This window comes from Homo sapiens, chromosome 11, assembly GCF_000001405.40.
Source record: "Homo sapiens chromosome 11, GRCh38.p14 Primary Assembly".
Lineage (NCBI taxonomy): Eukaryota > Metazoa > Chordata > Mammalia > Primates > Hominidae > Homo > Homo sapiens.
The window spans coordinates 117,092,747-117,115,597 of NC_000011.10; the positions used below are offsets into that span (position 1 = coordinate 117,092,747).

At 46.5% G+C, this 22,851-nt stretch overlaps 1 protein-coding gene across 15 annotated transcripts in view, besides 4 other annotated features; it reads right to left on the reverse strand.

Annotated features, from left to right (window-relative positions):
- SIK3 (SIK family kinase 3) overlaps positions 1-5,682 on the reverse strand; it is a 255,027-nt gene extending 249,345 nt beyond the window's left edge. For all 15 annotated transcript variants that reach the window (XM_017017424.2, XM_047426672.1, XM_005271482.5 and 12 more), the window contains exon 1: positions 5,397-5,682. In XM_017017424.2, the coding sequence (XP_016872913.1) occupies positions 5,397-5,669 (273 nt within the window). In that variant the 5' untranslated portion in view covers positions 5,670-5,682. The remainder of the gene's footprint in view (positions 1-5,396) is intronic.
- Positions 4,190-4,239: an enhancer, noted in NCBI's record as "active region_5564". NCBI's record gives its function as "activates an Ori minimal core promoter by ATAC-STARR-seq in GM12878 lymphoblastoid cells {active_cell/tissue: GM12878}" and the evidence as "EXISTENCE:reporter gene assay evidence [ECO:0000049][PMID:35858748]".
- Positions 5,561-5,610: a silencer, noted in NCBI's record as "silent region_3929". NCBI's record gives its function as "represses an Ori minimal core promoter by ATAC-STARR-seq in GM12878 lymphoblastoid cells {active_cell/tissue: GM12878}" and the evidence as "EXISTENCE:reporter gene assay evidence [ECO:0000049][PMID:35858748]".
- Positions 5,691-5,870: a silencer, noted in NCBI's record as "silent region_3930". NCBI's record gives its function as "represses an Ori minimal core promoter by ATAC-STARR-seq in GM12878 lymphoblastoid cells {active_cell/tissue: GM12878}" and the evidence as "EXISTENCE:reporter gene assay evidence [ECO:0000049][PMID:35858748]".
- Positions 16,432-16,666: a silencer, noted in NCBI's record as "fragment chr11:116979894-116980128 (GRCh37/hg19 assembly coordinates)". NCBI's record gives its function as "represses an EF-1alpha promoter that drives an FKBP-Casp9 reporter gene in an ReSE screen in phorbol 12-myristate 13-acetate-treated (for megakaryocytic differentiation) K562 erythroleukemia cells {active_cell/tissue: K562(+PMA)}" and the evidence as "EXISTENCE:reporter gene assay evidence [ECO:0000049][PMID:32094911]".

The following is a 22,851-nucleotide window of genomic DNA, read 5'->3' on the forward strand; positions in this document are numbered from 1 at the left end:
TGAGTAGAAAGCATTTCTTTTTCTTTTCAAAGCATCCATTTTGTTCTCTTTTACGCGATGAACTAGAAAACATTAGCCAGACTGAAGCCTGAAAAATGAAAACAGCACTTCTGGCACAGAAATAACTAGTCTGGGCACCTCTGGCTTGAGCGAGATCTATGACTTTCTAGGGAGCTGGCACCAAAGTCAAAATGTTAAAATAAACATCTTTGATGTAGAAAATGGAATACTGGTATTTTGACTCTGGAGAGACTAGTCTCAATCAGTCTTAGCTCTTTACAAAATTTCAAAAACGTTTAGCAACCCCATCACCACTGTATCAAACTGAACATAATCATCTTTCAATAGTCACTTCTAGATTGTCTAGGGATGGGGCTATCTTCCTCAAATGTATCTAATGTAAATTCTGCTTTCAATTTCTTTTTGACATAATTCTCTCCTACTTACCAAATGAATCTTGTTTTCAGTTTTCTAATGGGTGAAAGCATCATCTCATGTGCTTCGTTAAACTCTTCTTTAGAGGTGAAAATAATGCTTTTAGCCCACTTTGACTTGTTCTCCTCATGGAAATGAGTTTGCACTAAACCACACCGATGTGTCTGGCTAGTCAATATTTGGAAAGGGGTCATAGGGCAAAATGTCTTCTCTGTGTAATATTTAAAGTTAAGAATTCTGACCTTGGCCGTCTAAGGCCTTTGCTTGTGCACGCAAGGGCAAATGTGTCCTTAAGCTTGCAGAAACATTTCTTAAATATTTCACTTAAACCTAATTTAAGTGGACCTCTGGAGAAAAGACTGCACTCAACTCTGTTCCATCATCAACATAACAAAAATTAGTTACACAAAACACACTGAAAATTCAAGGCAGCCCAAAGCAAAAGCCAGTGTTGGTCACAGTTTTCATTAGATAAGTCACATTGCTATTTAAAAAAAAAAAAAAAAGTTTAACTAATGAAAATTTATGTTTTAAAATGCTGATTTCATGAGATTAGCCAGCCTGTACCCTATACAAATTAAATCCAACTATCTCAAAGTGGCACCTGCAATAGTAGCAAACTTTTTTTTTACCAGGAAAGTCTATCGTCAGGATGGCATCTACCTACACAAAACTAATGGCATATACATTCATGAATCGTGCCCAAGGGGTGAGAAGCAAAAAAAGGAGGACTATTATTATGTCCATAATATTATTATGTTACTAAAACATCTGATAACGATGATGATGATGGTAATATTTACGTCATGCTATTAGGGCACCATGCTGCTCTAAGAGCTTTACATACACTATCTTCTTTAATCTTCATAACACCTAAACTTGTGAGGTAAGTACTACTGTCATCCCACTTTACAGATGAGGAAACCCAAGCACACAGAAGTTAAATAACTTCTCACAGCCTAAAAATATCCAACTATTAAGCAGCAAAAGATTCAAACTCAGGTTGCTTTATCCAAAGCTGGAACTCTTACCACAAACCAATAACAGGCAAGTGATATATATTTGTTGAAATATAGTTTAAACGTATTTGGCCAAAGGCTTTTATAGTCATGCATACTTTAAAAAATGCATATGGGCCAAGCATTTGGGTTACAGACTCATGCCTGTAATCCCAGCACTTTGGGAGGCTGAAGCAGGAGGATCACTTGAGTCCAGAAGTTCAAGACCAGCCTGGGCAACATAATGAGACCCCCATCTCTACAAAAAAAATTTAAAAATTAACCTGGTGTGGTGGTATAAGCCTGTAGTCCCAGCTACTTAGGAAGCTGAGGCAGGAGGATCTCTTGAGCCTGGGAGTTGGAGGTTACAGTGAACTCTGGCAGTGTCACTGCACTCTAGCCTGGGTGACAGAGTAAGACCCTGCCCCAATATTTTAAAAAAGGAAAAAAAATGCATACAAAATCTATCTACTCTTTGTTCCCAATCATCCAACTAGTGAAGGTATAATTAGGCACAGGCAACAGACTACCTGCAATTTGAGAGCAGAAAACATTCTTTTTTAAAAATATCTGTAATACTTTATAGTTTCCTACCAAAAAAAAAAACAGAGCCAGAGAACCTCAGGCTAAGTAAGGCTCTTCCAAAGAAAAGGAAATCAAAGCAGGTAGGACAAAGACAGCCAGGGTGAGCTACTAACCAAAGTATGTCACAGCTGAACATTCTCTCCTGGTAACTGTTCTGCAGTGCCGCTCTAAGCACTGCAGTGCTGCCAATATGAAGTCTGAGCTCATGAATGCCGTGCTGCAAAAGTAACCAACAACCAAATAGGAAAAGCTTCACTTTTCTCTACTGATTTTATTCATCCCAGGATCCCACTCTAGACGGTTTGAGAGTTAACAGAATTTGGGAAAGGGCCAGCTTAACCACGCAGTATTGGATGGAGTGCAGTATCCTACTCAATAAATGAGGTTTACTTTAGTCTCTTAGTTCTTGGAATGGGTCATGTGTGTTTAAAAAAAAAAAAAAAAAAAAAAAGGAGGGGGATCATAATTATTTCTAATGTTCAGAAAATACCTATTACCTAACCTCCTTCAGCCAACACAAGTATCATCTGAATTACCTCTGTCTGACTGTTATATATGGTTATAAGAAAACCCAGACCATTTCCTACAAGGGGAAAAAAAAATCACACACCTCTAAAAGACAAAACAACAAATGACACATTCTGGAGACAGATGGGGGAAAAAAATAACTCTCTGTTTCCAAATGACCCCTCTGCAGAAGTAAGATAAAGGCTGCAGTGCATGGGGAGAAAAAAAATCAACCTGAGTTAACTGAAGCAGCAGCTTCGGCAACTTCTAGTACCTATGCACCTTCACCATTGTTATATAACCAAACCATAACCTTAATAGGCCATCGTACTGTATGTCGACAGCTGTTAGGCACATCTAAGCTGTCCGCATTTGAGAACCCCTTCCAAAGTGGATTCAGAGAAGCATGGAGCAGGCCAAAATATGCTCCTAGTTCACCCAGAGCACGTGACAACTCCTTGTGAATTAAGCTTCACTCATGTAGTCAGAGTAATTTAAGCAGCAAAAGATATAGCACTTGTAACTGTAACTAGGAAATTGCACACTGCTACAGAAACACAAATGAATGCTGGTGTGGCTCCTTCACACATGCAACTCATTGTCCAAGCCATTTCAGTCTCATTCAAGACTTTGAATATTTCCATACATAGGAATTGCACAACTGCATACCACAAATGATCAAAGATAAAAACCAACATAAACAGTGACACCCGTTTGTAAACAAGCCAGTGTTTAAAATGCTGCAGTCCTAAAGGATACCAAGGTCTCAGAGAAAAACTATGAAAAACACACGCACGCACATATACACACACATGAAAATTAGAAAGCGGGCAGACCAGCCATAATTAGGCACTGGCTTTGCTGACTACTGAAGATAGAAATGTCTCTTTTATATTAAAGCCAAGAATCAACTGTTTGCAATTACATTTACGAAAACATTCAACCCTGTCTGTAACAGATTTTATCAATATTTTGGTGTATCCAAGGGCTGGAAGATTCAAAATTCTTTAAATCATGAAACCATAAACCAGGCAACCAATTAAGTTCATGGAGACTATCCCCCAGAGGTCAGAGCAAAATAACCACAGGAGCACAAAGTGATTACACAGAAAATAGGCAGAAAAAAAGGAAAGAAATAGCAAAACAAGGAACAAGGCATATTGTTTGTAAATGTAAGTTTGCCTTGGCTAATAGTCAACTAGACTGGAAACACGGTGAGGGGCTGGGGTGGCAAGTGAGGAGCACACCAAAGTCTTGGCTCAATCGACTTCCCCTGACTTCCCCTCAGGGTCTGAGGGAGCCCTGGACTTTGGTATCTCATTCAGCTCTGACCTGCAGACTGGAGGCCCTGTGATAAAAACGGACAAAAAGGCTGAAGAGGGCCCTCCAGAGGAAGTGAAACTGACCAATCAATTCGCCACAGCCACCCACCCTGACACCCTGGTAAGAAGGGCCCCTTGTAGCCTCAGGCAGAAAGATGGTGGGGAAGGAACTTCAGGTTGCAAGTGATCAGGAGAGAAGGCCTAGATAAGTCACTGGCTTCAGAAAACAAGCCACTGCCAAAAAAGCAAAAACAAGGTAGGTCATGACAACCAGAGGCTAGGCTGAGGAGGTGAGGGGAATTGATGTGGCTTTGGTAGGAGGCGGCAGCAGCTGTAAGGGTTCTTCATTCCTCAGGCTGAGGGAAAACACAAGCTGCAGTTCTAAACATAATGAATGACTACATTAAAAGTATTCATTCAAGTAAGATATTGAGCAAAGAAAATTTTAGAGTAAAAATGGGCTTTGCGGGTTCCACCAAAACCAAAAGATTCCTCCTGATGTCTTAGATTCCAGTCCTCCCAACGAAGGCTACATGAAAGTGCTACCATATTTCCTCAAAGAATTTTACATGCATACATATATAGCTTCCTAATTGACCTTGGCCAATTTCACTCCTATAGCGCCTCAAATCCCTTTGAGAACTAAGGGCTCGATGAGTGTAATCTCCCGGTGTCTGGGTTCTTCAATCACAAGCTTCCCCCCAACCAGTAAAAGCCCACCCTGGGTTCTACAAAGCCCACAATTCCCGACCCTCCAACAACTAAAAATAACCAGCAATCAGCTCTCCCAAATTGTTTAACCCCTGACTACCTAGTGCCATCATAAACCTGGGACAGCCCCCACCCCCACCTCACTCCCCCATTCCCTGGGCCCCTTCCTGTGGACAAGCAAAGCAATTTCCCCCTTATTTCCCCATTTTCCTCATTGCCTCCTCCACTAATCGTGTCTCCTCGGGATCCCCTTCGCACCATCTATCAGTCTTAGATGATCAAATGCGGATTCCTGTCTCTGTCTTAAGGCACCAGGATCCTGGGACCTCCCAGCGCCCTGCAGACGTGCACATTCCCAGTCCGTGCCCCAGCCGTCCTGGGTCCCCTTACAAGCCCGGGTCTGCCACTTCACCCTTGTTTTTCCCCATCCTCCGGGTCCACATTTCATATGCCCCTGCCCTCATTCCCTTATGATTCCCTAGCTGCTGGTTCCAGAGTCTTCTGGGCTTACAGTCTCCCGGCCCTCGGGGAGTTCCGACCCCTTCTTTCCAATCATCCCCTTTACCCGCCTGCCCTCAGCCCCGAGGACCCCTCCCCGCGCCCGGCTCCTGGGCGCCGGTGCTCTGTGCCCTCGGCCCCCTGCTTGGAGTTCCGCCGTCTCGAGTCCCAGGTGTCCCTAGCTCCGCGCCCGCCCCGCCGCGGCTGGCTCCCTCCCGCCTCCCGGCCCCCAACGCTCCCACCACGCGCCGCGCTCGCCGCCCCGACCCCCCGGCTGGGGGGCGCGGACCTCTCCCGGCCCCGCCACGCTCCGACTGCCGCCTGGCCCCTGCGCCGGTACCTTGGCCTTGGTGACGAGGTGCGTGGCCCGCTTGACCACCGCGAAGTTGCCCTTGCCGATGGTGCGGTCGATCTCGTAGTAGCCGATACGGGCGGGCATGGGTCCGCGGGAGGCCGGGGCTGGGGGACGCGGCTGGCCGGCCGCAGGGGACACGGCAGCGGGGGCGGCTGGGGACCCCGGCGCGGGCGGAGGCAGCAGGCGGCCCGCGGGCCCGGCTCCCCCAGTCCCGGCCCCGGCAGCCCCGCCAGCTCCGCTCGCCGCCGCCGCCGCCATCTTGTTGTGCAGTGAAACCTCCGGGGCCGCGGGGAGCCGGCTCGGGGGAGGGGGCAAGGGGGGGCGGGAAAGGGGGGGCCGCGGACGTCACTCGGGGAGGCGGGGCGCTTTCGCCGACCGGCGCCCGGCTCCATGGCAACCGCGGGTCACGTGCCGACGCGCGTCACTGCCCGGAGCCATGGCAACCGTGACCTCACCGGCGGGCTCGACCTTCCCGCGTGGGCCCCGGTTCCTGAGGCGCTGGCTCCCGGGTGCCCCCCTCCGGGAGCTGGCGGTGGGAACCTTCGATGGGCCCCCAACCTCGAAGTCTCCGCCACCTTTCCCGAGTGGGGGGCGCAGGATGCCCGACCCAAAGCCAACCCCCCACCGCCGCTCGAATCGCCAATGTGACCTCTGCTGTGACCTCTGTCCCAGTTCAACGATCACCCAACCTCCCTTAACAAAAAAAAAGTGTTTCCTCATCACCAAAAATACCAGCGTTGTCCCACTTTAGCCCTTGAGGCCACAAATGCAGGAATAGCTACACTCTTGAAGCAACTGTAACCAAGTTGGTAACAACGCAGGGGAATTCTTCGGTAAAATTCCTTCCTCTTACAAAATCCAGCTCACCCTGCACAGTCAACCTAATTGTCACCGAATATAGGAGAATGGGGAAACTAGGATTTGCGTGTTCAAGGGCGGACAAGCCAGTCCAAACAGGCATTCCAGTCATTGGGTGGGTGACAGCCAAAGAAGGTACGTCATTTTCCTTCCTACCACCCCCATCTCTGAACAATTCTACAGGGATGTCTGTCAGAGTGCCTACATACTATTTCTGTTGCTTGTATAACCCTGATGAAGCAGTGGTGCGCATTGTCCAATGAACCACGTCGTGTTTAAACAACAGTCGGTTAAGCAAAATAAATAAGTAAATAATAAAAATTCCATCCTTCCTAGTGACTCTCCGAGGACATTGAGGGTCATCAAGTTAATAACTCCAGCAATTTCATATCTCTTTTTCTTCCCTTGCCTATTACCTGCATCCTTCATAGCTCCCAGGCTTCCTCCTCCTCTCTCCCCTTCCCTTTATTAAATAGATTAACTTAGCTGCTTTAGGTGAGGGTTGCAGGTAGGAAATCAGACTGTCAACAAAATAGTCTTTGGCAGGCTGGGTGGAAAGGAGGGAAGATTGTGAATATTCCAATGTTAAAATGTATTCCTTTGGACTAGTCCTGATCCATCCATATCTATGTCTCTCTCAATGGTAGAACTGTATTGTGAGGTCACTGCATGCACAGTATTAAAAACTGACACCCAGGGCACTGTAAATGTGTGGAAGGATAACTCGTGTTTACTCGCTGACCAAAGAACACCTCCTGGTGCTCCAATTCCCTATCCAACCATGAGTAATGGCTGGGACTTAAGATGGGACAGAGGGGTCATCCCACAATGGTCTTGGATCTATTCCCTGGTAGCTGTTCCAAACTGCCAACACAATTAACACTAATTGGCTCCCTTATTAGCAACTAAAGATAAGAATGAAGTGGGCCTTGGCTTCTTGCATTGGTTAAGCCCTTTCATCAGCTGAGCTCATTCCATCCCAGATAAATGATGGGGTGTGACCTGCCTCTCCTATCACTTCATGGCTCTCAGCTGCCTCTAGCAGGGACTATAACTTTGGTGCTGGGCTTCACAGCTGCAGTTTTTGGGTTTTTGTTTTTTTTTTTAGACAGAGTCTCACTCTGTCACCCAGGCTGGAGTGCAGTGGTGCAATCTCAGCTCACCACAACCTCCACCTCCCAGGTTCAAGCCATTCTCCTGCCTCAGCCTCCCGAGTAGCTGAGACTACAGGCGCACACCACCATGCCCGGCTAATTTTGTATTTTTAGTAGAGACGGGGTTTCGATATGTTGGCCAGACTGGTCTCGAACTCCTGACCTCGTGATCCCCCCGCCTCAGCCTCCCAAAGTGCTGGGATTACAGGCGTGAGCCACCGTGCCCAGCTACAGCTGCAGTTTTACCATCTCCCTGGGTGTCTCAACAGAAACCTTAGCTGGCTAGTAAAGCAAATAAAAAAATCTTTCACTGTGGAAGCTGCAGGAGCAGCACTGAAACCATTCTTACTGATGACTGTATGATCACAGAGTGTCCTCCACTAATGGAGGTAATTCGAACATCAAATATCAGAACTTTTGCTACTCTCTCAAGAGTGTCAAAAACAAAAACAACTCTGGGAAGGACCTAGAAAATGCAGCATTGTTCTAATTTCCACAGAGAAGAAGCAGATGACTCTTGTCCCTCAATAATGACCAGAACATATGCTGTGTGCTGTGTGTTATGTCACTTACGCTCCTTTCCTGTATAGATTGAGGTCACTAGATGGTGTTTCTGATTGAGACTTTGGTAGAGACTTGCTGGAGATCTCCTTGAAGAATAGTCCTCTTTGGCACAAAGAATATAGAAAATTAGAGAAGGGAGTAATCAAAGGAGATCATCAGGCAAAAAGGAAAATAGTTTAGATGTTTACGTTTAATAAGGATTTATTGAGTACCAAGAACTGAGTTAGGTTCTGAGAGAAACTCAGAGGAAATAGCAATCTGCCACGCGTTATGCTAAACAGTGTACCTAAGGGAACTCACTTAATCTTCACAACAACCTAATTAGATGGTTTGTATTATATCTCTATTTTGCAGATAAGGAAAATGAGGCACATAGGGATTAGGGGAATTGGCCAAAATCACAGAGCTAGAAAGTGATAGAACTGGGATTAAAACCCAGGCAACCTACCTCTGGAACCTAGGATCTTCCCCATTGTATTATAATCCCTGTCAAGGTAGGAGCCAGTAGGAAAAGTGGTCTCTCCATTAAGTTCAGGGTGACTGGGCTCAGTTTCGACCCAGGGAAGAAGAGTATTTTGAGAGGTCTTGAAAGCAGGACAGAGCAGGTAGCAGAAGCGCAGGAATAAAGACAACAAGACAGTAAGACTGAATGAAGTGCCTGCGATGGCTTCACTTGTAAATAGCACCAAGAAGAGTATCATGGCTTATTGTGTAGAAGTATTTCTGGCCCTTGAGGCCACACCTGTAATCCCAGCACCTTGAGAGGCCGAGGCGGGCGGATCACAAGGTCAAGAGATCACGACCATCCTGGCCAACATGGTGAAACCCCGTCTCTACTAAAAATACAAAAAAAATTAGCCGGGCATGGTGGCACATGCCTGTAATCCCAGCTACTCGGGAGGCTGAGGCAGGAGAATCGCTTGAACCCAGGAGGCAGAGGTTGCAGTGAGCCGAGATCGTGCCACTGCACTCCAGCCTGGCAACAGAGCAAGACTCCATCTCAAAAAAAAAAAGAATAAAAAAGAATATAGGCCTGGCCAGGCACAAGTGGCTCACACCTGTAATCCCAGCACTTTGGGAGGATGAGGTGAGTGGATCACTTGAGGCCAGGAGTTCGAGACCAGCCTGGCCAACATGGCAAAACCCTGTATCTACCAAAAATCTTTAAAAAATAGCCAGACTTGGTGGTGCATGCCTGTAATCCCAGCTACTTGGGAGGCTAACGCACAAGAATTGCTTGAACCCAGGAGGCAAAGGTTGCAGTGAGTCGAGATCGTGCCATTGCACTCCAGCCTGGGCAACACAGTGAAAACTCCTCTCACAAAAAAAACAAAATACAGGCCTATAAGTGTTGTGTTCCTGTCCTGAAGAAGACTCAGAGGAGTGGCTTGGGGGTGGAATTCTCAGAGCCCCTGTAATGCAAGACAAAGGCAGAGAGATAGACCCTTCACCCAGCTCCTAATCAGCCATCATTACCAACTCACCCTTTTCTGAAAAAGCAAAAGATAGATTCAAAGAGGAAAACGAGACATTTTCCTATGTAATGTCATTGTGTCCTGTTTCCAGAATTTGAAAAGAGCAGACCAAGTTATTCTCAATGACAGTGATAGGAACTTGGAAACTTTTAGAAGTGATACAGAATGTCTGAGGACCTAAGGTCTGACCTGAGAGTGATACAAACAGTGAGATGTCACATATTTTCAGTGATTTTCAAAGAACACTTAGGCTGCCTGCAGAGCAGTTTACCTGCAACCTGAAAGAAAATTGCAGCCTTACAATGTTGCTCCTTAGACTCTCGGAGCATGAGGACTTGAAGAAAGCCAGGCTTTGCACTTTTTATTGGTCCAACTCATTACTACTCTGAAAAAAAAAAGAAAAAAAGCTAAATTTATACATGCAATGTTGATACAGGAGCATTATTCAGAAATTCTGTATGCCAAAAGACAACATCGTAGTATATTTACATGCTACTAATTCCCCAAATAAGGAAATTACTCGCTGATTATAAATTCTGCCATCACATAGGAATCAAGGCACTGTTGGACACACATTGAACACTCCAAATGCCCTGGTTCTGTGGGTGAGCTGAATGCACACATTCTCTCTCTTAAGACTGTGTTCTAGATGGACATGGTGGCTCATACCTGTAATCCTAGCACTTTGGGAGGCCGAAGTGGGTGGATCATTTGAGGTCAGGAGTTCAAGACCAGCCTGCCCAACTCAGTGAAACGCCGCCTCTACTAAAAATACAAAAATTAGCCAGGCATGGTGGTGGGCACCTGTAGTCCCAGCTACTCAGGAGGCTGAGGCAGAAGAATGGCTTAAACCTGGGAGGCAGAGGTTGCAGTGAGCTGAGATCATACCACTGCACTCCAGCCTGGGTGACCGAGCAAGACTCTGTCACAAATAATAATAATAATAATAAAAAGACTGTGTTCTGCATCACCACCTCAGCTGTGTGGCTTTTGCCTTTTTCCTCGTCTTTCTCAGATCCACCTGGTCACATCCCAATTTCCCCAGGGCATCCGAAGCAGGTCTGAGCAGCCAAGGATAACTACTTAGTCTCCTGCTAGAAAATATCTCAGGTAGGTTGTATAAGGGAAGCTAAGTAAGCTTTCAGTCAACGACTTTCTGTTCAGTCTGCCCACATTGTTCTTTTTAATGTAGCCATTCAAGCTGTGATGCAAAACATAAAAATTGCCCTTATTACTTTGCATATGTTCTAGGATATGGTTGAAACATTTTTAGATTATTATTAATTATCCTTTGAATAATCCAAAACATCTTCAGGCTGGAGTGCAGTGGCGCTATCATAGGTCACTGCAGCCTCAACTTCTTGGGCTCAAGTGATCCTCCTGCCTCAGCCTCCCGAGTAGCTGGGACTACATGTATACACCACCATGCCTGGCTAATCTTTTTTTTTTTTTTTTTTTGAGACGGAGTCTCACTGTGTCTCCCAGGTTGGAGTGCGGTGGCGCGATCTCGGCTCACTGCAAGCTCCGCCTCCCGGGTTCACGCCATTCTCCTGCCTCAGCCTCCCAAGTAGCTGGGACTACAGGCGCCCGCCACTACGCCCGGCTAATTTTTTGTATTTTTAGTAGAAACGGGGTTTCACCGTGTTAGCCAAGATGGTCTCGATCTCCTGACCTCGTGATCCGCCCGTCTCGGCCTCCCAAAGTGCTGGGATTACAGGCGTGAGCCACCGCGCCCGGCCCTGGCTAATCTTTTAATGTTTTTATACAGACAGGGTCTTGCCATGTTGCCCAGGCCAGTCTCAAATTATTGGTCTCAAACAATCCTTCTGCCTCAGCTTCCCAAAGTGTTGCGATTACAGGTGTGAGCCACTGAACTGGCCAAGTATAATTTTCAAAAGGTCTTCTTCAACCTTAGATGTGACTGTATTATCATTTGGGATCAATGTCTTCCTTGGGCAAATATACCTTTGGTTTTATAAGAAAAATCAATGGCAAAATACATTTAGTAAAGAAAAAAAATCATCTAGGACAACTTTTTTTTTTTTTTTTTGAGATGGAGTCACGCTCTGTCACCCAGACTGGAGTATAGCGGTGCAGTCTCGGCTCACTGCAACCTGCACATCCTTGGTTCAAGCAATTCTCCTGCCTCAGCCTCCCAAGTCCCAAGTAGCTGGGATTATAGGCACCCGTCACCACGCCCAGTTAATTTTTGTATTTTTAGTGGAGACAGAGTTTCACCATATTGGCCAGGCTGGTCTGGAACTCCCGACCTCAGGTGATCCACCCACCTCGGCCTCCTAAAGTGCTGGGATTACAGGCGTGAGCCACCACACCTGGCCAGGACAACATTTTTAATAAAAGTGTGTTCCTTAAGGTGGAGGATCCCTTGTTACCCTGTAATCAACTCTCTAATATTTATACTACTAATTTTTGTCTTATAATTTACTTATTTCTCCTAAGTAAAAAATATGATATTCAACAAATATTGATTAAGATATTGACATATTTGGATCCTTTTCTTTCCCTTGAATATCAAAGTGTACCTAGATTCTAGAAAGTCACCATGTTTCACCGAAAATGAAGGCATACTTCAAAGGTCTACCTAGGGTGAAAGTTTTCCTTATTTCCCTAGCTCTGCACTTACAAAACTGCATTTTTCTTCTTTCCCTTCATCTTCACATCTATTCTCACGGAAGAGCCGTCTCTTCTGCAGCACCTGCCTTGGGAACTGCCTCTCAGTTTTCAAAGCTCACCTTCACACAGCCTGGTGTGTTTCAGGTGACAGGACAGATGCTCTGCTTTTAAAGCAGCTTCCTTGCATTAAGGGTCGGTTTTGAGCCAGGCACAGTGGCTCACTCCTGTAATCCCAACACTCTGTGAGACTGAGGTGAGACGACGGCATGAGCCCAGGAGTTCAAGACCAGCCTGGGCAACATAGCAAAACCCCCATCTCTACAAAAAAAATTAAAAATTAGCCAGGAGGGGCTGGGCACGGTGGTTCACGCCTGTAATCTCAGCACTTGGGAGGCTGAGGCGGGCGGATCACGAGGTCAGGAGATCAAGATCATCCTGGCTAACACGGTGAAACCCCATCTCTACTAAAACTACAAAAAAATTAGCCGGGCGTGGCAGCCAGCGCCTGTATCCCAGCTACGCGGGAGGCTGAGGCAGGAGAATGGCCTGAAGCCGGGAGGTGGAGCTTGCAGTGAGCCAAGATCGTGCCACTGCACTCCAGCCTGGGGGACAGAGCGAGACTCCGTCTCAAAAAAAAAAAAAAAATTAGCCAGGAGGCTGGGCGCGGTGGCTCACACCTGTAATCCCAGCACTTTGGGAGGCCACGGCGGGCGGATCACGAGGTCAGGAGATGAGACCATCCTGGCTAACACGGTGAAACCCCGTCTCTACTAAAAATACAAAAAATTAGCCAGGAGTGGTGGTGGGCGCCTGTAATCCCAGCTACTCGGGAGGCTGAGGCAGGAGAATTGCTTGAACCCGGGAGGTGGAGTTTGCAGTGAGCCGAGATCACGCCACCCCACTGCACTCCAGCCTGGGCAACAGAGCAAGACTCCATCTCAAAAATAAGTAAAAAAAAAAAAATAGCCAGGCATGGTGGTGCATGCCTGTGGCCCAGCTACTTGGGAGGCTAAGGTGGGAGAATCACTTGAGTCCAGGAGGTCAAAGCTGCTGTGAGCCGTGATCACACCACTGCACTCCAGCCTGGGCAGCAAAGTGAAACCCTGTCTCAAAAAAAAAAAAAAAAAAAGTGGGTTTTGCTTAAGTTTTCTACCAGCCTTTTCAGCTGTTGGCTAAGAACAATTTATACTATTGGGATTGGTTTCTGTAGGTAGCTGACTTACCTTTGTTTGCTTCATTTCTGCCACAATTTTTCTCAAACTAGAAAATCCAGTCTTCTACTTCTTGAGGCCAGATTCCTATCCCTTGGCTGCAGAGACACCTTCTGGTTGAAGTCCTAAACTACATGATGCGTAACGAATACTCCCTTTTCTTTTCTGCTAAGGAAGGCTTTCTAGTCCTTTCTATTTAAACTGTAGGCCATTGAAAACCACAAACCCGTATAGGAGCCAGAAAGCTGGAATCCGAATGGAAGCTGGCTTCAGGAAGCTAGATTTCTTTATGGCCAAATACAAAGTACAGTGGGGGCCAGGCGCGGTGGCTCACGCCTGTAAACCCAGCACTTTGGGAGGCCGAGGAGAGCTGATCACAAGGTCCGGAGTTTGAGATCAGCCTGACCAACATGGTGAAACCCGTCTGTACTAAAAATATAAAAATTAGCCAGGCGGGGTGGCACACGCCTGTAATCCCAGCTACTCAGGAGGCTGAGGCAGGAGAATAGCTTGAACCCGGGAGGCAGAGGCTGCAGTGAGCCGAGATGGCACCACTGCACTCCAGCCTGGGCGAAAGAGTGAGACTCCGCCTCAAAAAAAAAAAAAAAAGAAAGTACAGTGGGGTAGGCTTACAATTGTGTTTTAGGCTTAAGTAGCAGTCCATGCTGTGTGTGTTTGTGTGTGTATGTTTTGAGACGGAATCTGGCTCTATCACCCAGGCTGGAGTGCAGTGACATGATCTCAGTTCACTGCACCCTCCACCTCCGGAGTTCAAGTGATTCTCCTGCCTCAGCCTCCCAAGTAGCTGGGATCACAGGTGTGCACCACCACACCCAGCTAATTTTTGTATTTTTAGTAGAGACAGGTGTGGTTTTCACCATGTTAGTCAGGCTGGTCTCAAACTCCTGACCTCAAATGATCCACCCGCCTTGGCCTCCCAAAGTGCTAGGATTACAGGCTAGAGCCACCACGCCTGCCTTTTTTTTTTTTTTTTTTTGAGACGGAGTCTTGCTCTGTTGCCCAGGCTGGAGTGCAGTGGTGCAATCATAACTCCCTGAAGCCTCCAACTCCTAGGCTCAAGCTATCTTCCCACCTCAGCCTCCTGAGTAGCTGGGACTGTAGGCATATACCACCACACTTGTCTTAAAAAAAAATTTGTCTTTTGGTTGGGTGTGGTGGCTCACATTTGTAATCCCAGCACTTCGGGAGGCTGAGGCAGGTGGATCACCTGAGGTCAGGAATTCAAGACCAGCCTGGCCAACATGGTGAAACCCCATCTCTAGTAAAAATACAAAAAATTAGCCAGGCGTGGTGATGCGTGCCTGTAATTCCAGCTACTGGAGAGGCTGAGGCAGGAGAATTGCTTGAACCGGGGAGGTGGAGGTTGCAGTGAGCCGAGATTGCACCATTGCACTCCAGCCTGGGCAACAAGAGGGAAACTCTGCTTAAGAAAAAAAACTAAGGATGAAGTTATTTCCATTTATTTTTATTTAAAAAATAATTTCATTCACTTGGCACATTTAAGAGCCAGGTCTGTTATCTTCTCTGGAAAATCACTCCTACCTAATGAGGTCGTTAGGAGAATTAACTTATAAATATGTAAAGGGACCTAGATTAGAGCCTCGTACATCCTCCCTCTAAATTCCAAAAGTAGGTAAACAATAACATACTGGTTTCCAAATCACTTTCAAAAGATTAGGAATGATTGAGAATAGAATTAGGGCTGTGAAAATGGATTAACTTCAGAGTTAAAAGAAAGTTGTGGTTTAAATGTTTCGATTTGGTTTACTAAACATGCATAGTTCAATCTGTGGAATGTGGATATATTTGTGTTTGTGATGCAACTCTGCATGTCCAATGAAAACATTCTTACTCTCAAATTTCATAACGTAGTTGTTATCCCCACTTTATAGATGGTCAACTTACTTTATCTATCTGATGATTGGCTCCTACAGCCAGTAAGTGGTGAAGCTGAGATGTAATTCCAAGGCTGCTGATCTCCAAAGCCAGTTGTCTTTCCAAATATTAGAATATACTAGTGTCTGTGGTCTGTTAAAAAAAATGATGACAGTGCCTTTTTAAATAAAATTTAAAGCATGTACATGAAAAATACTAAAACACTTATATAATTGCTATGTAACAATCTGCTTAACAAATTGTGTGCACTCCCAAACTTTCTGCATAATGCAAGTGCTTTGTGAGAAGTCTATATGAGCTCTGTGGGAAAGATCCAATCCTGGTGGCATTTTTTCCCCTAAAATTTATTTAATATAATATATGTAAAAAACAACAAATTATATGTATACCATTTGTAGGTATTGTGCAATAATCTGCTTTTACACAGTGAAACACTCAGCCGGGTTTGGTGGCTCACACCTGAAATTCCAGCACTTTGGGAGGTCAAGACAGATGGATCACCTGAGGTCAGGAGTTCAAGACCAGCTTGGTCAACGTGGTGAAATCCCACCTCTACTAAAAGTACAAAAATTATCCAGGGATGATGGCAGGCACCTATAATCCCAACTACTCGGGAGGCTGAGGCAGGAGAATCGCTTGAACCTGGGAGACAGAAGTTGCAGTAAGCAAAGATCGCGCCATTGCACTCCAGCCTGGGCGATAAGAGCGAAACTCTGCTTCAAAAAAAAAGAAATGAAACACTCATATATGACTTTTAATTGTTTTCCAAAATAAAACTAAAATGTTCTAAATTTATTATTTTATTTATGTTTTGAGACAGTGTCACTCTGTCATCCAGGTTGGAGTGCAGTGGCACAATCTCAGCTCACTGCAACCTCTGCCTCTGAGTTCAAGTGATTCTAGCGTCTCAGCCTCCTGAGTAGCTGGGATTACAGGCATGTGCCACCATGCCTGCCTAATTGTTTTGTAGTATTTTTAGCAGATAGAGTTTTGCCATGTTGGTGGGGCTGGCCTTAAACTCCAGAACTAAAGTGATCCGCCCACCTTGGCCTTCCAAAGTGCTGGGATTACAGGCATGAGCCACCACGCCTGGCCCCATTTAGTTTTTAAGTTAAAAATAAGGGCAGGAGCCGGGAGAGTAGTGCCAACTATAGTCCCAGCTACTTGGCAGGCTGACACAGGAGGATTGCTTGAGCTCAGGAGATCAGCGCTGCAGTACGCTATGATCACACCTCTTAATAGCCACTGTGCTGTGCTTTAGCCTGGATAACAGAGCTAGACACCATCTTTTTTTTTTTTTTTTTGAGATGGAGTCTTGCTCTGCCAGGCAGGCTCGCGTGCAAGGGCACAATCTTGGCTCACTGCAACCTTCACCTCTTGAGTTCAAGTGATTCTCCCACCTCAGCCTCCTGCATAGCTGAGGCTACAAGGTGTGCACCACCACGCCTGGGTAATTTTTCGTGTTTTAGTAGACATGGGGTTTCACCATATTGCCCAGGCTGATCTGGAATTACTGAGCTCAGGCAAACCTCCAACCTCGGCCTCCCAAAATGCTAAGATTACAGGAGTAAGCCACTTTGCCTACTCAGAGACACCATCTCTTAAAAAAAAAAATGAGTGGGCAGGACATGATGACGAAGGGTAATAATGTGTTCGGAATTGGTGGATTCTTGGTCTCACTGACTTCAAGAATGAAGCCGCAGACCCTCGCGGTGAGTGTCACAGTTCTTAAAGGCGGCGTGTCCAGAGTTTCTTCCTTCTGGTGGGTTGACGGTCTCGCTGGCTTCAGGAGTGAAGCTGCAGGCCTTTGCCATGAGTGTTACAGCTCTTAAGGCAGCACGCCTGGACTTATTCGTTCCTCCCGGTGGATTCCTGGTCTCGCTGGCTTCAGGAGTGAAGCTGCAGACCTTCGCAGTGAGCGTTACAGCTCATAAAGCCAGCATGCACCCAAAAAGTGATCAGCAACAAGATTTACTACAGAGAGTGAAAAAACAAAACCTCCACAGCAAGGAAGACTACCCAAACGGATTGCCACTGCCTATTCCGGCAGCCTGCTTTTATTCTCTTATCTGCCCCACCGCACCCCCCCTACCCTGATTGGTCCATTTTACAGAGAGCCGATTGGTCTGTTTTACAGAGAGCTGATTGGTCCGTTTTGACAGGTGCCGATTTGTGTATTCACAATCCCTTAGCTAGACATAAAGGTTCTCCAAGTCCCCACCAGATCAGCTAGACACAGAGTGCAGATTGGTGCATTTACAAACCTTGAGCTAGACACAGGGTGCTGATTGGTGCACTTACAAACCTTGAGCTAAATACAGAGTCCCGATTGGTGTATTTACAATCCCTTGGCTAGACATAAAGGTTCTCCAAGTCCCCAATAGACGCAGGAACCCAGCTGGCTTCACCTAGTGGATACTCCACTGCATCCGCAGGGGGAGCTGCCCACCAGTCCTGCGCCCTGTGCCCCCACTCCTCAGCCCTTGGGCGGTCCATGGGACCAGGCGCTGCGGAGCAGGGGGCGGCACTCGTCGGGGGAGGCTGGGGCTGCCCAGGAGCACACGGCGGCGACGGGGAGGCTCAGGCATCGCAGACTGCAGCTGCAGCTGCAGACCGAGCCTTGCCCCACAGGGAGGCAGCTGAGGCCCGGGGAGAATTGAAGTGCAGCGCCGGCGGGCCGGCACTGCTGGGGGACCTGGCGCACCCTCCTCCGCTGCTGGCCCGAGTGCTAAGCCCCTCACTGCCCGGGGCGGGAGGCGCCGGCCGGCTGCTCTGAGTGCGGGCCCACCAAGCCCACGCCCACCAGAACTCAAGCTGGCCCACAAGTACGGCAGGCAGCCCCGGTTCCCGCTAGTACCTCTCCATCCACACCTCCCTGCAAGCTGAGGGAGCCAGCTCCGGCCTCGGCCTGCCCAGAAAGGGGCTCCCACAGTGCGGTGGCGGGCTGAAGGGCTCCTCAAGTGTGGCCAGAGTGGGCGCTGAGGCCAAGGAGGCTCGGAGAGCGAGCGAGGGCTGTCAGAACACTGTCACCTCTCAATAGCATTTGAGCCATGTGGTGTGGGCCTCCCACCCAATTCTAAATCCCCTACACAGTAGAGCCAATTTCTACCAAAGCTGGATGTGGAAACCAGAGTAGTTATAGATATTCTTCCCTTACAGTTCATACCAACTTTAGAAACAGTTTTGAGTTCCCTAAGATTTTTTTTCTGATAACTTCCAAGCACGGGCTGGGCATGGTGGTTCACGCCTGTATTCCCAGCACTTTGGGAGGTCTAGGCGGACAGATCACTTGAGTTCAGGAGTTCAAGACCAGCCTAACCAACATGGAGAAACCCCGTCTACTAAAAACACAAAATTAGCCAGGTGTGGTGGCGCATCCTTGTAATCCCAGCTACTCAGGAGGCTGAGGCAGGAGAATTGCTTGAACCGGGAGGTGGAGGTTGCGGTGAGCTGAGATCGCGCCATTACAATCCAGCCTGGGCAACAAGAGTGAAATTCCATCTCAAAAAATAAACTGACATGAAGTGCTTGCCCATGCCTGTGTCCTGAATGGTATTGCCCAGGTTTTCTTCTAGGGTTTTTATGGTTTTAGGTCTAACATTTAAGTCTTTAATCCATCTTGAATTAATTTTTGCATAAGGTGTAAGGAAGGGATCCAGTTTCAGCTTTCTATGTATGGCTAGCCAGTCTTCCCAGCACTATTTATTAAATAGGGAATCTTTCCCCATTTCTTGTTTTTGTCAGGTTCGTCAAAAATCAGATGGTTGTAGATGTGTGGTATTATTTTTGAGGGCTCTGTTCTGTTCCATTGGTCTATATCTCTGTTTTGGTACCAGTACCATGCTGTTTTGGTTACTGTAGCCTTGTAGTATAGTTTAAAGTCAGGTAGTGTGATGCCCCCAGCTTTGTTCTTTTAGCTTAGGATTGTCTTGGCAATGCGGGCTCTTTTTTGGTTCCATATGAACTTTAAAGTAGTTTCTTCCAATTCTGTGAAGAAAGTCATTCGTAGCTTGATGGGAATGGCATTGAATCTATAAATTACCTTGGGCATTGTGGCCATTTTCACGACATTGATTCTTCCTATCCATGAGCATGGAATGTTCTTCCATTTGTTTGTGTCCTCTTTTATTTTGTCGAGCAGTGGTTTGTAGTTCTCCTTAAAGAAGTCAAAGCCAAAATTGACAAATGGGATCTAATTAAACTAAAGAGCTTCTGCACAGGAAAAGAAACTACCATCAGAGGCTGGGCGCAGTGGCTCACACCCGTAATCCCAGCACTTTGGGAGGCCGAGGCGGGTGGATCACGAGGTAGGGAGATTGAGACCATCCTGGCTAACACGGTGAAACCCCGTCTCTACTAAAAATACAAAACATTAGCCGGGCGTGGTCGCGGGCGCCTGTAGTCCCAGCTATTCAGGAGGCTGAGGCAGGAGAATGGCGTGAACCAAGGAGGTGGAGCTTGCAGTGAGCAGAGATCATGCCACTGCACTCCAGCCTGGGTGACAGAGCGAAACACTCTCAAAACAAAACAAAACAAAACAAAAAACTACCATCAGAGTGAACAGGCAACCTACAAAATGGGAGAAAATTTTTGCAATCTGCTCATCTGACAAAAGGGCTAATATCCAGAATCTACAAAGAACTCAAACAAACTTACAAGAAAAAAACAACCCCATCAAAAAGTGGGCAAAGGATATGAACAGACACTTCTCAAAAGAAGACATTTATGCAGCCAACAGACACGTGAAAAACTGCTCATCGTCACTGGCCATCAGAGAAATGCAAATCAAAACCACAATGAGATACCATCTCACACCAGTTAGAATGGCGATCATTACAAAGTCAGGAAACAACAGGTGCTGGAAAGGATGTGGAGAAAGAGGAACACTTTTACACTGTTGGTGGGACTGTAAACTAGTGCAACCATGTGGAAGACAGTGTGGTGATTCCTCAAGGATCTAGAACTAGAAATACCATTTGACCCAGCCATCCCATTACTGGGTATATACCCAAAGGATTATAAATCATGCTGCTATAAAGATACATGCACACGTATATTTAGTGTGGCACTATTCACAATAGCAAAGACTTGGAACCAACCCAAATGTCCATCAATGATAGACTGGATTAAGAAAATGTGGCACATATACACCATGGAATACTATACAGCCATAAAAAAGGATGAATTCATGTCTTTTGTAGGGACATGGATGAAGCTGGAACCATCATTCTCAGCAAACTATTGCAAGGACAAAAAACCAAACACCACATGTTCTCACTCACAGGTGGGAATTGAACAATGAGAACACTTGGACACAGGAAGGGGAACATCACACACTGGGGCCTGTCATGGGGTAGGGGGAGTGGGGAGGGATAGCATTAGGAGATATACCTAATGTAAATGACGAGTTAATGGGTGCAGCACACCAACATGGCACATGTGTACATATGTAACAAACCTGCACGTTGTGCACATGTACCCTGGAACTTAAAGTATAATAAATAACTTCCAAACACCAGGTATTTATGGATTCATTGTTTGGTAGAATTTAAACTCTCAGAGCAGGGTATTCAAACTCCTTTGCAACCTGGCCTCAACCTACTTTTTCAGCCTGTCACGTTTCATTTACTTTCCCACCCACCTTTCCCCACCCAGGACGACTGCAGGTTGTGTGCTTACTCCTTAACTTCTACTCAGCTTTTCCTTGTATTTGGAATACCTTGGAAGCTTTTCCATCTGTTATTTAAAATTCTACTACTCCTTGGCCAGGCACGGTGGCTCATGCGTGTAATCCCAGTACTTTGGGAGGCTGAGGCAGGTGGATCACGAGATCAGGAGTTCGAGACCAGCCTGACCAACATGGTGAAACCCCGTCTCTACTAAAAATACATATTAGCCGGGCGTGCTGGCACCTGCCTGTAATCCCAGCTACTCAGGAGCTAAGGCAGGAGACTCGCTTGAACCCGGGAGGCAGAGGTTGCAGTGAGCCAAGATCGCACCACTGCACTCCAGCCTGGGCGACAGAGTGAGACTTTGTCTCAAAAAAAAAAAAAAAAAAAATCCACTACTCCTTTAAGGTACAGCTAAACTCAGGATTTTTACAATCCGTAAAAATGTTTCTGGGTCTCCAAACATTTTGCCCATTCAGAACATAGAGGATTGCCTGAGCTCAGGAGTTCGAGACTAGCCTGGACAATATGGTGATACCTCGTCTCTACTAAAGTACAAAAAAAATAGCCAGGCGTGGCAGTGCATGCCTGTAATCCCAGCTACTCGGGAGGCTGAGGCAGGAGAATCACTTGAAACCGGGAGGCAGAGGTTGCAGTGAACTGAGATCACACCACTGCACTCCAGCCTGGGTGACAGAGTGAGACTCTGTCTCAAAAAAAAAACACAGGCTTTGGAGATGAAGTCCCTGGGTTCAAATCCTGGCTCCATAACTTATTAGCTGTGTGATCTTGAGAAAATAACCACTCCAGGCCTCTGTTCTTCAACTGCAAAATAGATAAAATAATAAAACCTGTCCAGGCGCCGTGGCTCATGCCTGTATCCCAGCACTTGTGGGAGGCAGAGGTGGGTGGATCACTTGAGGTCAGGAGTTCGAAGTCAGCCTAGCCAACATGGTGAAACCCCGTCTCTACTAAAAATACAAAAATTAGCTGGGGGTGGTGGCTGGAGTCTGTAATCCCAGCTACTTGGGAGGCTGAGGCAGGAGAATCATTTGAACCTGGGAGGCGGAGGCATAGTGAACCAAGATTGTGCCATTGCATTCTAGCCTGGGCAACAGAGCGAGACTCCATCTCAAAAATAATAATAATAAAACCTATATCATAGGAATGTTGGAAGGATTAAATAAATTACTATATATGAAGTACTTAAAATAGTGCTTGGTACAAAATTGGTGCTCTGTAAAATGACTACAATTATTATAATTATTAATCTACTGTAGCTTTTTTTTTTTGAGATGAAGTTTCACTCTTGTTGCCCAGGCTGGAGTGCAATGGTGCAATCTTGGCTAACCGCAACCTCCACCTCCCAGATTCAAGTGATTCTCCTGCCTCAGCCTCCCGAGTAGCTGGGATTACAGGTGTGTGCCACCATGCCCGGCTAATTTTGTATTTTTAGTAGAGACGGGGTTTCTCCGTGTTGGTCAGGCTGGCCTCAAACTCCCGACCTCAGGTGATGCGCCCACCTCTGCCTCACAAAGTGCTGGGATTACAGGCGTCAGCCCACCACGCCCGGCCTATTGTAGCATTTTTAAGTGGAACTTGCATTTCGTGTATGGCTGTCAGTCTAACTAGACTGCAATCCCCAGAGTCAGGAACCATATCTGTTTAGTTCACAACTCTATATCCAGCACATAACATTGTGCCTGAAAAAAAAATTATATAAATGTAAAAGTTTTATGGAGAATACAAAACATCACTGAAAAACCTAAAAGAAGACATATGCCATGTGTGTCAATGAACCTAATATTGAAAAAAACCTGTCTCAAAAAAAAAAAAAGGGTTGGGCGCGGTGGCTCACGTCTGTAATCCCAGCACTTTGGGAGGCTGAGACAGGCGGATCACGAGGTCAGGAGATCGAGACCACTCTGGCTAACACGGTGAAGCCCTGTCTCTACTAA